General features: G+C 41.6%; 2 protein-coding genes across 17 annotated transcripts in view; both read left to right on the top strand.

The window, feature by feature from the left end:
* Window positions 1–14,434, top strand: part of TPD52-MRPS28 (TPD52-MRPS28 readthrough) — a 252,848-nt gene that overhangs the window by 95,027 nt on the left and 143,387 nt on the right. The window contains exon 2 of the mRNA NM_001387778.1: window positions 11,945–12,060. Within this exon, the coding sequence (NP_001374707.1) occupies window positions 11,945–12,060 (116 nt within the window). The remainder of the gene's footprint in view (window positions 1–11,944; window positions 12,061–14,434) is intronic.
* The window catches only part of TPD52 (tumor protein D52), a 140,483-nt gene that overhangs the window by 95,027 nt on the left and 31,022 nt on the right, over window positions 1–14,434 (top strand). For 15 of the 16 annotated variants that reach the window (NR_170693.1, NR_170694.1, NR_105035.2 and 12 more), the window contains one exon: window positions 11,945–12,060. The exons of the other annotated variant lie outside the window; for it this stretch is intronic. Coding sequence is in view for 9 of the 15 variants with exons in the window: in NM_001387779.1 (NP_001374708.1) it covers window positions 11,945–12,060 (116 nt within the window). In the remaining 6 variants the exon portion in view is untranslated. The remainder of the gene's footprint in view (window positions 1–11,944; window positions 12,061–14,434) is intronic. 16 annotated transcript variants of the gene reach the window in all.

Raw genomic sequence — 14,434 nt, 5'->3', positions numbered from 1 at the left:
TTTTGCTCCTCTTCCTCCTCCCACCCTCCACCCTCTGGTAGGCCCCAGTGTCATTTGTTCCCCTCTTTGTGTCCATGTGTTCTCATCATTTTGCCCCCACTTATAAGTGACAAGGTGCCCTGTTTGGTTTTCTGTTCCTGTGTTAGTTTGCTAAGGATAATGGCCTCCAGCTCATCCATGTTCTTGCAAAGGATAGGATCTTGTTCTTTTTTATGGCTGCATAGTGTTCCATGGCATATATGTACCACATTTTCTTTATTCAGTCTATCATTGATGGGCATTTAGGTTGATTCCACCCTTTGCTATTGTGAATAGTGCTACAATGAACTTACGCATGCATGTGTCTTTGTGATAGAATGGTTTATATTCCTTTGGGTGTATACCCAGTAATGGGATTGCTGGGGAGAATTTTCTAATGTACAGGAAGATGCAGACTTGGCTTATGGCACCTTTGGTTATTTCTATTGACTTAAGGAATTATGAGCAATGGAAAAATCTGACATTTTAGTTTAACACGATCATATTTGATACTCTAGAAAGACTGAAAAATCAAACTGAAATTCCTTAGCTCATAGTTCTTTTCATTCTGTTTTACCCTTTTTGATTTTCACTCTGTGTCATTCTCACTTCTTTTTAGAGAAGTGGTTACCACTTCTTAAAAGTTTTTCATGATTGCATCAGTCTTAAATAGCAAACATGGCTGTGGTTTACAAAATAAAAACTGGAGTCAAATTGAAGAGATGTAGAATTTCCTTATTCCTAGAGAGGAAATTTAAGGATGGAAGAGACTTCCTCTCTGGGGATTCTGAGATTTCTGCATGGCTGACCTTTGTCACTCTTTTCTGGAATGTCCCAGTTACTAGTTTTATACTCAATTTTGGGGCAGGGGAGCAGAGCAGTGGGGAGAGGAGATGGCTCTGAAGTAATTGACTGAAGATTTTTTCTTTTAAAAAAAAATGAAAGAGATTTAAGGGTCCATTTAGAAATACCTGGAAGGACCAAGTAAAGCATTTGAAAATACTGTGTTTTACCTTGAGGATCGTTTCTTCTTTGTCCACTCTTTCTGTGAAGTGAAGCTTTGGGAGGTAACCTTCTGTCTTGGGTGGGGACATTGACCACTGTTCAGGGTCCTGCTTTCAGAGCTGAGTCCCAGGAGCACTTTGCACCCGATGTGGCTCCCAAGCGCTCCTTTCCCTTTTTGTCTTAGTGCAGCCCCTCCCCTCCTGCTCTGTTTCCTTTACTCTTTAATAACCCAGACATTGGCCAGGCGTGGTGGCTCACGCCTGTAATCCCAGCACTTTGGGAGGCCGAGGCAGGCGGATCATGAGGTCAGGAGATTGAGACCATCCTGGCCAACATGGTGAACCCTGTCTCTACTAAAATACGAAAAATTAGCCAGGTATGGTGGTGGGCGCCTGTAGTCCCAGCTACTCGGGAGGCTGAGGCAGGAGAATTGCTTGAACTTGGGAGGCAGAGATTGTAGTGAGCCAAGATCGCGCCACTGCACTCCAGCCTGGTGACAGACCAAGACTCCATCTCAAAAAATAAAAAAAAATAAAAAATAACCCAGACATTGTCCCCTTACGCTTGTGAGGAGCTTGGGTCTTCCCTTAAATGGAGTGGATCAAGTTTTCTCAGTTTTTTTCTTCCCTGCTACCTTGACTACAATTACCCAACTCGTTTTCCCCCTAAGGTTTTACTGTTCTTGCCATGGGCACACATGGGAAAATTCCAGCCTTAAGAATCTAAAGTTGTCACGGCCTGAGCTGCTGCATCCCTCTCTTCTGAAGGCACTCAGTGGCAGACAGCATCCTCTTAGATGCTCCCTCGCCTTAAGTCAGTGGTTCTCAACCACAGTTTTGCCCCACTGTGGGCATTTGACCATGTTTGTAGATACTCTTTTGGTTGTTACAACTGGGTGTGGGTGTGGGGCTGCTACTGACATCTGGTGAGTGGGCCTGAGATGCTACACAGGAAGATGCCCAGGGCAGTCCCTGCCACAGTCATCCACCGCATGACGCCCGTGGTGCCGTGCCTGAGAAGCGCTGCCTTAACTGGATGCTTAATCTTTTGGGTCTCCCGAAGACAACCATTGTGGTGTGGGGACTTGCAAATATTCCTCCCACTTCTGGGATTTTATTACATCCAGAAACAACAAGGCACAGAGAATGGGAGCCCCAGGCACAGACTTAACATGGGGAAAAAACATCCTGTGATCTTTCTGGATGTTACCACTAAAGATACTTTGAATTATATGTTTAAATCTCTTTTTATGCCTCTAGGTTTAAAAAGGGGGATGCATATTTCCTCTTGTTTGTGCTTAAATAAAACAGTCATAGATACTGAAGTTTCTTACCGCGACTCCGGTCTTAAAGTTATTGGTCCTGCTTTGAAGACTTGTGTAGGAAAGGCCTGTGCAGCTTTATTTTCCAGAGACGCTTCCAGGGCTCAAATATATGTTAACAGATTCTTTCTTGGGTAGGCAGTGTTAACATTCAGGCTAAATAGCAGATATCTTAGACTCCATTTTGGCATCTTTTTCCCTCCTAGTTGAATTTTTTTGGGGGCAGCTGACATATTCTTTCTGTGATATCATTTTTGTCCCACCTATGTAACCATGGTACTTTTGACTGCACACTGTTTTCCTGTAATATGAAGGTAGGTGACCTGCCCCCAAAAGTGACAATCTTTGGACAGATTATGTATGAGATGGAAGTCATATTTCTTTAGGAAAGTGACATTTCACATCTGCTTTAAATAGAAAAACCTTTCTAGGTAAAAACAGTGAAGTGAGAATGCAATATATAAAATAAAAAGCTCGAGATAAAAGGAGAGAGAATGAAGGGAGACTGGGTTCTTATCTTTCCTTCTAACTTGACTGTATAACTTCCTATAATCCATTTATCCACAGTGTTGACACGCATCTGCTGTGTGCCAGACACTGTGCATCAGAGATCCTGCTAAGGCTAAAGACACAGGATTGGAGCATGAAGGCCAAGTATTGCCCAGCTGCAGTCTGTATTCTATACAATAGACTGGACCGTAGGTTCTTATTCCCAGAGCCAAGAACTGTTTCTCAGCCAAGGTCACGGGGTCCAGGGGAGATCCCCCAAGAGTAGGAGACACTTTTGACTTATTTAAGCTAATGGGACCTGGAAATAGGGATGGGGTTTCAGGCAGAGAAAATAATATGTGCAAAGACACACGAAAAATAGTGTGTTTTAGAGATAGCAGAGATGGCTGTACAACATTGTGAATATAATTGATGTCACTGAATGACACACTTAGAAATGGTTAAAGATGATACATTTTTGTTGTATATTCTACCATAATAAAAAATTAAATGGGCCAAAAAGTATGGGAGGTACATTTAAACAAAAATTTTTTTTGAGTTAATACCTTTATTTCTTTCCTTCTTTCTTTCTGTATTTCTTTCTTTCTCGCTCTCGCTCTGTTGCCCAGGCTGGAGTGCAGTGGGTGATCTCGGCTCACTGCAGCCTCCACCTCCCAGGTTCAAGTGATTCTTGTGCCTCAGCCTCCCAAGTAGATGGGATTACAGGTGTGCGCCACCACACCTGGCCAATTTTTGTATTTTTTAGTAGAGTTGAGGTTTCACCAGGTTGGCCAGGCTGGTCTCGAATTCCTGGCTTCAAGTGATCCACCTGCCTCGGCCTCCCAAAGTGCAGGGATTACAGGCATGAGCCACCATGCCTGGCCAAGTTTATATATATATATATATGTGTGTGTGTGTGTATGTGTATATATATGTGTGTGTGTATATATGTATATATGTGTGTGTATATATATGTATATATGTGTGCGTATAGATGTATATATGTGTGTATATACACACATATCTATGTGTACATGTATATACACACATATCTGTGTACATGTATATACACGCATATCTATGTGTACATGTATATACACGCATATCTATGTGTACATGTATATACACGCATATCTATGTGTACATGTATATACACGCATATCTATGTGTACATGTATATACACGCATATCTATGTGTACATGTATATACACGCATATCTATGTGTACATGTATATACACGCATATCTATGTGTACATGTATATACACGCATATCTATGTGTACATGTATATACACGCATATCTATGTGTACATGTATATACACGCATATCTATGTGTACATGTATATACACACATACACACACACACACACACACACACACACACATATATGTTTTTTAGATGGAGTCTCTCTCTGTCGCCAGGCTGGAGTGTGGTGGCGCAATCTCAGCTCACTGCAACCTCTGCCTCCCGAGTTCAGGAGATTCTCCTGCCTCAGCCTCATGAGTAGTTGGGACTACAGGTGCACGCCACCACGCCCAGCTAATCTTTGTGTTTTTAGTTGAGACGGGTTTCACCATGTTGGCCAGGATGGTCTCGATCTCTTGACCTCTTGATCCGCCTGCCTGGGTCTCCCAAAGTGCTGGGATTACAGGCGTGAGCCACCGCGCCCGGCCTACATTTCTTAAAAAACAAAAAAAGCATGTGTTTCTGGAGGAACTGCAGGTTGGAGGGTATAGTGGGAGTGTTGTGCTGGTGAGGGCAGTAGCAGGAGATGGGGCAGGTGCTGGGGAGTGGGGCCAGATTGTCCAGAGTGAGGAGCTTTGCAAGAAGCTGGGAAGCCATCAAAGGACTTAAGGCACGGGAGTGGCGTCGTCAGATATGCACTCTAGAAAGCTCTTTGTTGGGGCAGGTTGAGGAATATTTGCAGATGTCAGAGACTGGCAAGGAGCTTAGGGGTAGGAATCTAAGCAACACATAGTGACAGCTCAAACTAGGCAGGAGGGCAGGATTGGAGGCAAGGAGTGAAGTGGATGTCCAGAGAGTGAGATGGAGCCATGACGTCTCAGAGAGGTAGGAAGAGAAAAACCAGGAGGGAGGAGAGGAATGGAGATTTCAGACTGAAGTGCAATGTCAGATGGCCTTGGCGTGGCTAGATGAGGGTAGTGACCCAGAATTGTCCTTAGTGGAAGGGAGGTGGAAGGGGCAGCCACAAGGTTGCAGGGGGTTGAAGAGTAGTGGGCAGTGAGGAAGTGAGACCTGAGAGCCAAGACTCAGGGAGGACGAAAGGAGAGAGAAGCAATTGCCAGGACAAGTTATAGGGCATGGAACCTGGGGGAAACAGCAAATCCTTGTGTGTACCCATTTTTTGCAGGTAAGGGGCTTGGGGCTCTTTGAAGATAAATGTGATTAAAGAAGATCAACCAACTAGTCAATGGCTGAATCAGTGTTTATGCCCCTTTCCATCGGAATTATTCTCCTGGGGCTGCGGTAGCCATTCTGGGTGGCTTATCACCCGGTTCTGGAGGTTAGAAATCTGAAATGAAGGCGTTGGCAGGGTCTTGCTCCCTGTGAAACGTGCAGGGCAATGAATCCTTGCTGCCTCCTCGCTTCTGGTGTTTGCTTGCAGACCTTGGTGTTCCTTGTTCTGTAGTGATGTCACCCCAATCTCTGCGTGTTCTCTGTGCTTTGCGCTCTGTATCTTCACATAATCTCTTCTCTGAGTCTCTGCGTTCAAATTTCCTTCTTATAAGGACATGAACCATTGGATTAGAGTTCACTAATCCAGTGTGACCTCATCTTAACTTGATTACATCTGCAGAAATCCTGTTTCCAAATAAAGACACATTCATTGTTGTCAGGGGTTAGGAAATTGAAGACATCTTTAAAGGCAGCAGAGTTCAACTCACAACACCATCTAATTTCAAAGCTCATCTTGTCTTTTCCTATTCTTGTAAAAATCTGTCCTCAGTTTTCTCATCTTTATATAATGAAGCATTTGACTTAAACCAGGGATCCCCAACGCCCAGGTGGTGGACTGGTACCCATCTGTGGCCTGTTAGGAACCAGTGAGTGGCAGGCGAGTGAGCATTACCGCCTGAGCTCTGCCTCCTGTCAGATCAGTGGTGGCATTAGATTCTCATAGGAGCATGAACCCTATTGTGAACCACACATGCGAGGGATCTAGGTTGCACATTGCTTATGAGAATCTAATGCCTGATGATCTGAGGTGGAACAGTTTCCTCTCAAAATCATCAACCCCCAACCGCCGTGGAAAAATTGTCTTCCATGAAACCAGTCCCTGGTGCAAAAAACACTGGGGACTGCTGACTTAAACGATTCAGAATTCTTTCAGATCTAAAATTGTATGACAATGGCCAAAAAGCTTTTAATCAATAATCTTAGAAAGTCTTGAAGCACTTGGTCATAATTGGAATAAAAGTCAAAGACGAAGAACTAGAGGGAAGATAACCATTTAAGTGGGTGCTCCAAAGGGGGGTTGGGGCTGCACCCAAGCAGAGAGAGGCGCTCCTCAAACTCTTATTTTTGGCTTAAGTGTAGGTTCTACATTTTTAGTAAAAACGCTTTTGCTGCTTTCCCCAGTTGAAATTTGTGAAAGTATGTGGCAAATGGGTGGTTATGCATGGGAAAGTAAAGAGAGAGCTACTTTAATTAAATCTTTAAAGAATAATTCAGTTCAGATGCAATATTAACATTGACTGTTCTAGGCACTGTGAGTTCTGAGATGGAGAGATAAAGTGACATCAGGACTTTATAGTCTAGAACTAGAGATGTGTTCAGGACTAAGCTCTTACCGGTTCTTGGCCACTCTGCTCTGCCTTTCCCTGCTCTGACCACACTCGCACACACACATTTCCACTTTGTCTTCCGCACATTATTCACAAGGACTCTGAAGTCTTGAAGTGTTGTATTTCATCAAATCCAAGACACCACAGATTGTAAGATGTTACTATTATTTTTTGTTTCATTAAGTATAAAATATGCTAATAGTTAAACTAAAAAAAAACCTGCTTTATCATAACTTAAGTTTTAAATCTTTTTTAAAAATTATTTTTAGTAGAGATGGGGTTTCACCACGTTGCCCAGGCTGGTCTTGAACTCCTGGCCTCAAGTGATCTGCCTGTCTCTGCCTCCCAAAGTGCTGGGATTACAGGTGTGTGTGAGCCACCATGCCCAGCCCCCTAAAAATTTTTATTAAAATTTTTGTTGTTGTTGTTTTGAGACAGGGTCTTGCTCTGTTGCCCAGGCTGGAGTGCAGTGGCACGATCACAGCTCATTCAGCTTCAACCTCCTAGGCCCAAGCGATCCTCCCGCCACAGCCTCCTGAGTAGCTGGGACTACAGGTGCAGGCCACTATACCCGGCTAATGGTTTTTGAGTTTTTGTAGAGACAGGATCTCACTTTGTTGCCTAGGCTGGTCTCGAACTCCTGGGCTCAAGTGATCCTCCCACCTTGGCCTCCCAAAGTGCTGGGATTACAGGTATGAACCACTGTGCCTGGCCAAAATTTTTACATTTATTGAAGTTCTTTTTTAGATTTATTCAGACGTTTACACTGATCATAACACTCCTGTGCATATTTTCTAAAATAAAAAAGAACATTTCCTAAAATGTCTTCACACCCATAATCTAACTTATTTGAATTGCTATTCAACTTGGAGTAATCTATGTCTATTCTATTGATTTATTTTCCTCACATAAAATGTCTGTGGTGCAGCCTTTCTTAAGAGACGTCTGTAACCGGACCTGGCATTTTCTAAGCCATTTTGCAAATTTTGAAGCATGTTTGCAGGTGATAACCATGTCACAATGACTGGCTGATTAATTGTACAGTGCATCTCAAAGATGTAAAATGTAAAAAGTATCTTCAGATTGATGGGATGTGTCTCTGCTTGTCTTCTCCATCCTTACCCCTGAGACACTAGAACTCTCAGCTGGGAATCAGCGAGATGCATTGCCCTGCCAGTGGACTCCAGACCCTTCCCAGGGGAGGCCACCCAATACCCAGCTTGCTGGAAGGACTTTTCCAAAGACAAGTCTAGACTTGTCACTCCCCCACCTAAAGCTCTTCAGGGATCCTATGGATGGAACTGAAGACAGGCTGACAATCTGTTTGCACAGCTAGATGAAGAGAACTAAGGCAATGGCTAAAATGTTAATAACCTGATGGAAGAAATTATCACTCATTTTCAGTCACTTGTGTTTGATAATGTTATCTGTGACTTTCAAACCAGGGATCCCCACAGGTTCCTAGACCCTCAGGAAAGTAAAACGTTTCTATGGAGAAAGACTAGGCCCTGTTTCCTTGTCCTGCCATGATCATTGATGTTTCTCTAAGATGTTCGTGATGGAGCTGAGTCGAGAGACAGAAAGACCCAAGTATTAATCCTGCCTCTGTAACTCTGGGCAAATTATATAGCCTTAGAGGACCGCAGTTTCCTGGTGGAAAAAAAATACTCCTCTCGGATGGTGGTTATGGGGTGTTTTTATTTTTATAAGATAACATGTAGACTTCCCCTCACAGTGGCTGGTGTAGTAGATGTCAGTAGATATTAATTGTATTTTCCCCACCATCTTTGTCTTTTAAAAACAGCTTTCCATCAGATTCTGAGAAAAAAAAAACAACATTAAAATTAATGAACAAATAAGTTTTGGATTATGGTTTTCAATAATCTATACTTTTAAATGTTCTTATTTTCCACCTTTCATGTTGTGAATGAGAAATTAATCTTTTCTCCCAAAAGCCAGACTCTATTTTCATATTAAATCCTATACCATTACTGAACATACAAGAAACAGGATCATATCTAGACGAATATATAAGGCAAAATTTGGATTCCCAGGTTTGGGGAAACTTTAGTTGGAATTAATGAAGACTGCTTTTGATCTAGTCTGCCAGATTCTTTCACTTTTTAGGGTCTTATTATTGCTTCTAGATACCTTTCAGGTCTGACCATCAGCCTCCTACTTTTGTCTTTGTTTTCAGATCAGTGATGTGAAGCATTTGTTTTTACATCAGACCGTCTAGGTTTAAAATCTGACCTCCACCAAAGATTTAGGTGTGTTAACCTGGGCAAGTTGCTTAATGTCTGTAAGCTTGAGGTTCCTGATCTGTAAGTGGTGACAGGGATCCCCACCTCACAGAAGTGTTGCACATAAGTATTTAAAACACTTAATTTGGACTTGTCTGTAAATGGAATGCACTCTGTCATGGTGGCTGTGGTTAATAATTTTCTCAAGGCATGACTGTGATGTTTTGCTGGTGATTTTGGTATCTACCATTCTGTTCTTCCTTGGTGTTCTTTAATTTCTAATTTTTTTTTCCAGACTGCACCTTTTAATTTTAATGATAATGATTTGCTGCCACCTACGGGCTAATGTGGAAAGAGCAGAACATGTCATTACCAACTTTCTTAGATGCTGAATATAAAATCTCAAGGTCATCCTGGCAGACTTGAAGCCAACTGGACAACCCGTCATCCTCTTTTCTGAGAGATTTATTTTCCTTGATAGCCTAGCCGCATACTTGAATAGAACCAGAATCCCCTTGGATTCTTTTTGGAATTGGGCAGTATACATAAAGCATTGTGTTAGCAGTCAGATACTGTATTTCTCCCCTTGTTTGAGTAGATTTGCAAAACAGTGTGTATCAAAAAAGCATGAAAGAGTCTTTGCTATTTAAGTAATGGTTTGGTACCTGAGTTTTGCTTGTTTTGTTTTGGAGATCTGTTGTAGTTGGAGAACCTGGGAGTTCTGTACAAAACATTAAAAATAAAATAACGTTTAACAGGTAGCTCTGTTATGGTTCTTACTGTGTTGCCTTATATGATTGTTACTTGAATGCTTGACTCTCAGTTTCAATCTCATACAACTTTCTTCACATAATCTGACATAGAGGGTAGATTTACAAGCACACACAGATGCTGGGAAATGGTTTCTGACAGTACATAGTACAGCACGTTGTTCACGGTGTGGTTTGGCAGGAGTTGGAGTAAGAGGTGCCAATGCCAGCTAGCAGGAGACGGGTCCAGTAAGGGCTACCTGCCAACCTCAGGGGTCACACTTTGCTTTGAAAACAGTAAGGAATCACCAAAGGATTTTAAGCTGAAGAGTGATACAGTCAGATTTCTATTATAGAAATATTATTTGGGCAGTCTGTTCACAAATATTTTAGAGGAAGACCTGCGGAAGCAATTATGCATTGAGCTTTTCTACTTGCTGATTGTACCTATTAAATATTTTATATTCAGTCAAGAGCTTAATCATATTTTTTGCCAGTCCGATTTGTGGTTTTTGAATTTTTTGTGTTACTTTTATGCCTTTAACAGTTCTGTGCTTTCCAGGTAGGCACTATTTTGGTGCTGCCATGCTGATGATTATTATTATAATTATTAACTGCTATTAATCAGTGAGTGTACAGTAGAGCCTGTACCAAGTGCCTTTGTAACTTGTACACCATGTACATAAGCATCATCTCATTGACTCATGTAATTCTCTAATGCTTGCTGCGACGCTGGCTGCTTGTTCCACAGTGTGGTTATTCTCCTTCCTTTTTCTTCTGTGTCTGCTCCCTGGCGCCTTGCATTGGGCAGGATGCCACATTGCTGCTGTGGCTGAACTGGCAGTTCTCAGAAATGGTCCTGGGGGGTAGCAGGGAACAACTGCAGTGGCTGTGATGCTCACTGGCAGGAAGAGCAGGCAGAGGAGTAAACCTTCCCCTGGTTTCTTTGCAAAAAAAAAAAAAAAAAAATCTGTTGCCAGAGGAGACTTTGTAATCCCAAATCTGTAAACTGAACTGAAGCCTAGGGTAAGGCAGCTGAGGCCAGGAAGGGGGTGACAAAAAGCTTAGTCGTCAAATAATATACAAATACAATATTTTTAAAAATTAATGTAAAAGAAAATCATGAATAAAATATCACAATTTTAAATAAAGATGAGATTACCAATAGTGCTGTTCATGCAGAGCCATTTTGGAGTTTGAGACAAAGTATCAGCAATACTGATCCTTCAATTTAAAATTTTGGCATTTTTGTTCATCATGGGTTCTTTGAATTTGATTTTTAAAAAATACTGCATTAAGATATTTATATTGAGTGTTTTAGTGGCCTCTTCAATTTTGCACCCAAGGTTGGGGTGCCTTTCTGGCCTCATCTTAGCCTGTGGGTGAGGGTTGGGCAGGAAAAGAGGGGAGATCTGAGGGGCAGCTGCCTCCTGGTCACTCTCCAGTTGTTCTTCCTGACAGGCTCCGTTCCAAGGGGAATGGGTGCGGTGTGGTTGGTCTTCAGTAGTGTAGAATGTCTCTGTGTGGCTGTTGGTCATGTCTCTGAACATATACCTTAGTATTCTTTTATAAGGGTATCTGGATGATATATATATATATAGATAGATAGATATAGATATATAGATATAGATATATATAGATAGATATAATCATCTATATCATCATATATATATATGATGGCTTGAAGCCAGGAGTTCAAGACCAGCTTGGGCAACATAGCGACACCCTGTCTCTACCTCCTAAAACAAACAAACAAACAACAAAAAAAGAACTTACAAGAAGATGTTTTCTGCCTCCACTAATGGAAAGAAACAGAATAAAATTTACTTAGGACATTTAGTTCATTCAGTGGTTACTCCTTTACTGAGTTTATGAAATGTTGGCTTTGATTACCACAGCAAGCTGAAGAGATATGCAAACTCCTGCCCTGGGTTACTGGGAAGGAGCTAAAATCTTTCATCTAATTTATACTGATTTACTTTTGCAGCAATTTAAAGTCTCAGCAAGATCTCATTTTGGGCCCTTCACTCTTCTGCCATAACTATATTGTGACTGAGACTATGAACAGAAGCTAAGAGAATGCTATATTTTCTAAATTCATATTTTGGCAGAGTCTACTTGGTAGTTTCCGGTGGTTAGCTCAGATTTTCTTTTGTCCTTTGCTGAGAAAGCCAGGTCATTTGAATATCCAGAGATGAGATGTGTGGATCTACTCTAATTGGCTTTATTCTGGCTAGGACAGTGGAGGAGCTTAAATAGGGATTTTACTTAGATTTTGCACTTTAAAAAATGGTTTAAATCCCCAACCAGGTCTGCTGAGAACAGACCCAGTCCCTGAGGAAGGAGAAGATGTTGCTGCCACGATCAGTGCCACAGAGACCCTCTCGGAAGAGGAGCAGGAAGAGCTAAGAAGAGAACTTGCAAAGGTAAAGAACCATTCCTTTTGCAACTTTATTTTTGCACTTAAAATGTACTGTCATTTGTGATTCTAAAGTACATGGTGATATGTTTATAGTTAGTTCCAGGGGAGAGAAAGCATATGTGTTTACTTCTCCAGCAGGTCTTGAGTAGGGGAGAGGAGATAGAAGAGGGTGACATCGGTTCGTTTTTATATGAGAAAAAAGTATATATGGGTAAAATAGATGTGAAAAGTAGAGTGTGAAGCAGGAAATGAATGAGAGGAGTAGTAGTGAATGTCTTCTAAGGGACTTCACTGACATCTGATACACTTGCTCTTCAGTGCATCAGTGACTTTGTTCTACCCTTGGCTGTGTTGCAGAGATGGCCACTTTCCAACTTCCTTCCGCCTTTCCTTCCTTCCAGCTCCCTCCTTCCCTCCCCTCCCTTCCCTTCCCTACCCTGCCTTCCCTCCCCTCTCTCCCTTCCTTCCTTCCCCTCTCTTTCTTCCTTCCCCTCCCTCCCTCCCCTCCTTCTTCCCCTTCTGGCTTCTCTTTTTTCTCTTTCCGCCCCCCCTCCCCCTCCCTCCCTCTGCCATTCCCCCCCATTCCTCCTCTCCTTTCCCTCCCTTCTTACTTTTTTCTTTCCTAACTTCTTCCATGAAATTCATTTAACATAAAAATTAACCATTTTATTATATTTTATTTTTCGAGATGGAGTCTCGCTCTGTTGCCCAGGCTGGAGTGCAGTGGCACAATCTTGGCTCATTGCAACCTCTGGCTCCTGGGTTCAAGTGATTCTCCTGCCTCAGCCTCCTGAGTAGCTGGGATTACAGGCGTCTGCCACTGTGCTCAGCTAATTTTTGTATTTTTAGTAGAGATGGATTTCGCCATGTTGGCCAGGCTGGTTTCGAACTCCTGACCTTAAGTGATCCACCTGCCTTGGTCTCCCAAAGTGCTGGGATTACAGGCAAAAAAATTAACGAGTATAATTCAGTAACATGTAACATTCACAGTGTTGTGCAGCTGCCACCCCTTTCAAGTTCCACACATTTTCTTCACCTCCAAAGAGATCCCTGTATTCATTAAGCATTCAATCCTGACTACTCCCCTCCTTCAGCCCCTGGCAATACCTAATTTGCTTTGTGACTCTATGGATTTAACTGTCTTCTGGTTATTTCATATAAATGGAATCATACAATATGTAACCTTATGTATTTGGGTTCTTTCCCTTCATGTTTTTGAGGTTGATTCATGGTGTAGCACATATCTGTGCTTCATTATGTTTAATGACTGAATAATATTCCATTACATGTATCTATTGTATTTTGTTTATCCATTTATCCATTCATAGACATTTGGGTGATTTTTCACCTTTTGACTATGGTGGGTAGTGAGTTAGGAACATTTTATGAACAAATACTTGCTTGAGTACCTAGTTTCAGTTCTTTTTCATATATGCCTAGATATGGAATTGCTTCATCATGTGGTAGTTCCATGTTTAATGTTTTAAAATTTTTTTAACTTTTTTTTTAAGATACAAGGTCTTGCTCTATTTTGTGGGTTGGTGATTGTGCAGTGGCATGATTATAGCTCACTATAATGTTGAACTCCTGGGCCAAGCAATCCTCCTGCCTCAGCCTCCTGAGTAGCTGGGACTCCAGGTACATGCCATTATGCCTGGCAAATTTTTTAATTTTTATTTTTCATAGAGATGAGATTTTGCTATGTTGCCCAAGCTGGTTTCAAACTCCTGGCCTCACGTGATCCTCCCACCTCAGCCTCCCAAAGTGCTGGGATTACAGATGTGAGCCACTGTTCCTGGCCCATGTTTCAAGTTTTTTTGGGAAGCACCAAACTGTTTTCACAGTATTAACACCATTTAATATTCCCATCAGCAATTTCCCCACATCCCTGGCAACATTTGTTATTTTCTGTGTTGTTGATTATAGTAGTCCTAGTGGGTGTGAAGTGATATCTCATTATGGTTTTGGTTTGTGCTTTTGGTGTGATATCTAAGAATCCATTTCTAAATCCTAGATGATAAAGATTTACCCCTATGTTTTTGTCTAAGACTTTTATAGTGTTGGCTCTTAAGATTTAAGCCCTTGATCCATTTTGAGTTAATTAGCGTATATGGTTTTGGTAGGGATCTAACTTCATTCTTTTGCATGTGGCTAGTTTTCCCCAGTGAATGCTCGTGGCATCCTTGTTAAAAAAGAAAAAAAATCAGTTAACCATAGATGTATAGGTTTATTTCTGGACTCTGGATTCAGATTCATTCATCTATATGTCTTTTCTTTTGACAGTATCACACTATTTTGATTACTATAGCTTTGTAGTAAGTTTGAAATCCAGAAATATGCGTTCTTTACCTTTTTCTTCTTTTTAAAAATTGTTATTC

This window comes from Homo sapiens, chromosome 8 (genome assembly GCF_000001405.40).
Source record: "Homo sapiens chromosome 8, GRCh38.p14 Primary Assembly".
NCBI classification, from domain to species: Eukaryota; Metazoa; Chordata; class Mammalia; order Primates; family Hominidae; genus Homo; species Homo sapiens.
Note: the sequence above shows the minus strand (reverse complement) of the source record. Positions and strands in the feature narration are given on the sequence as shown.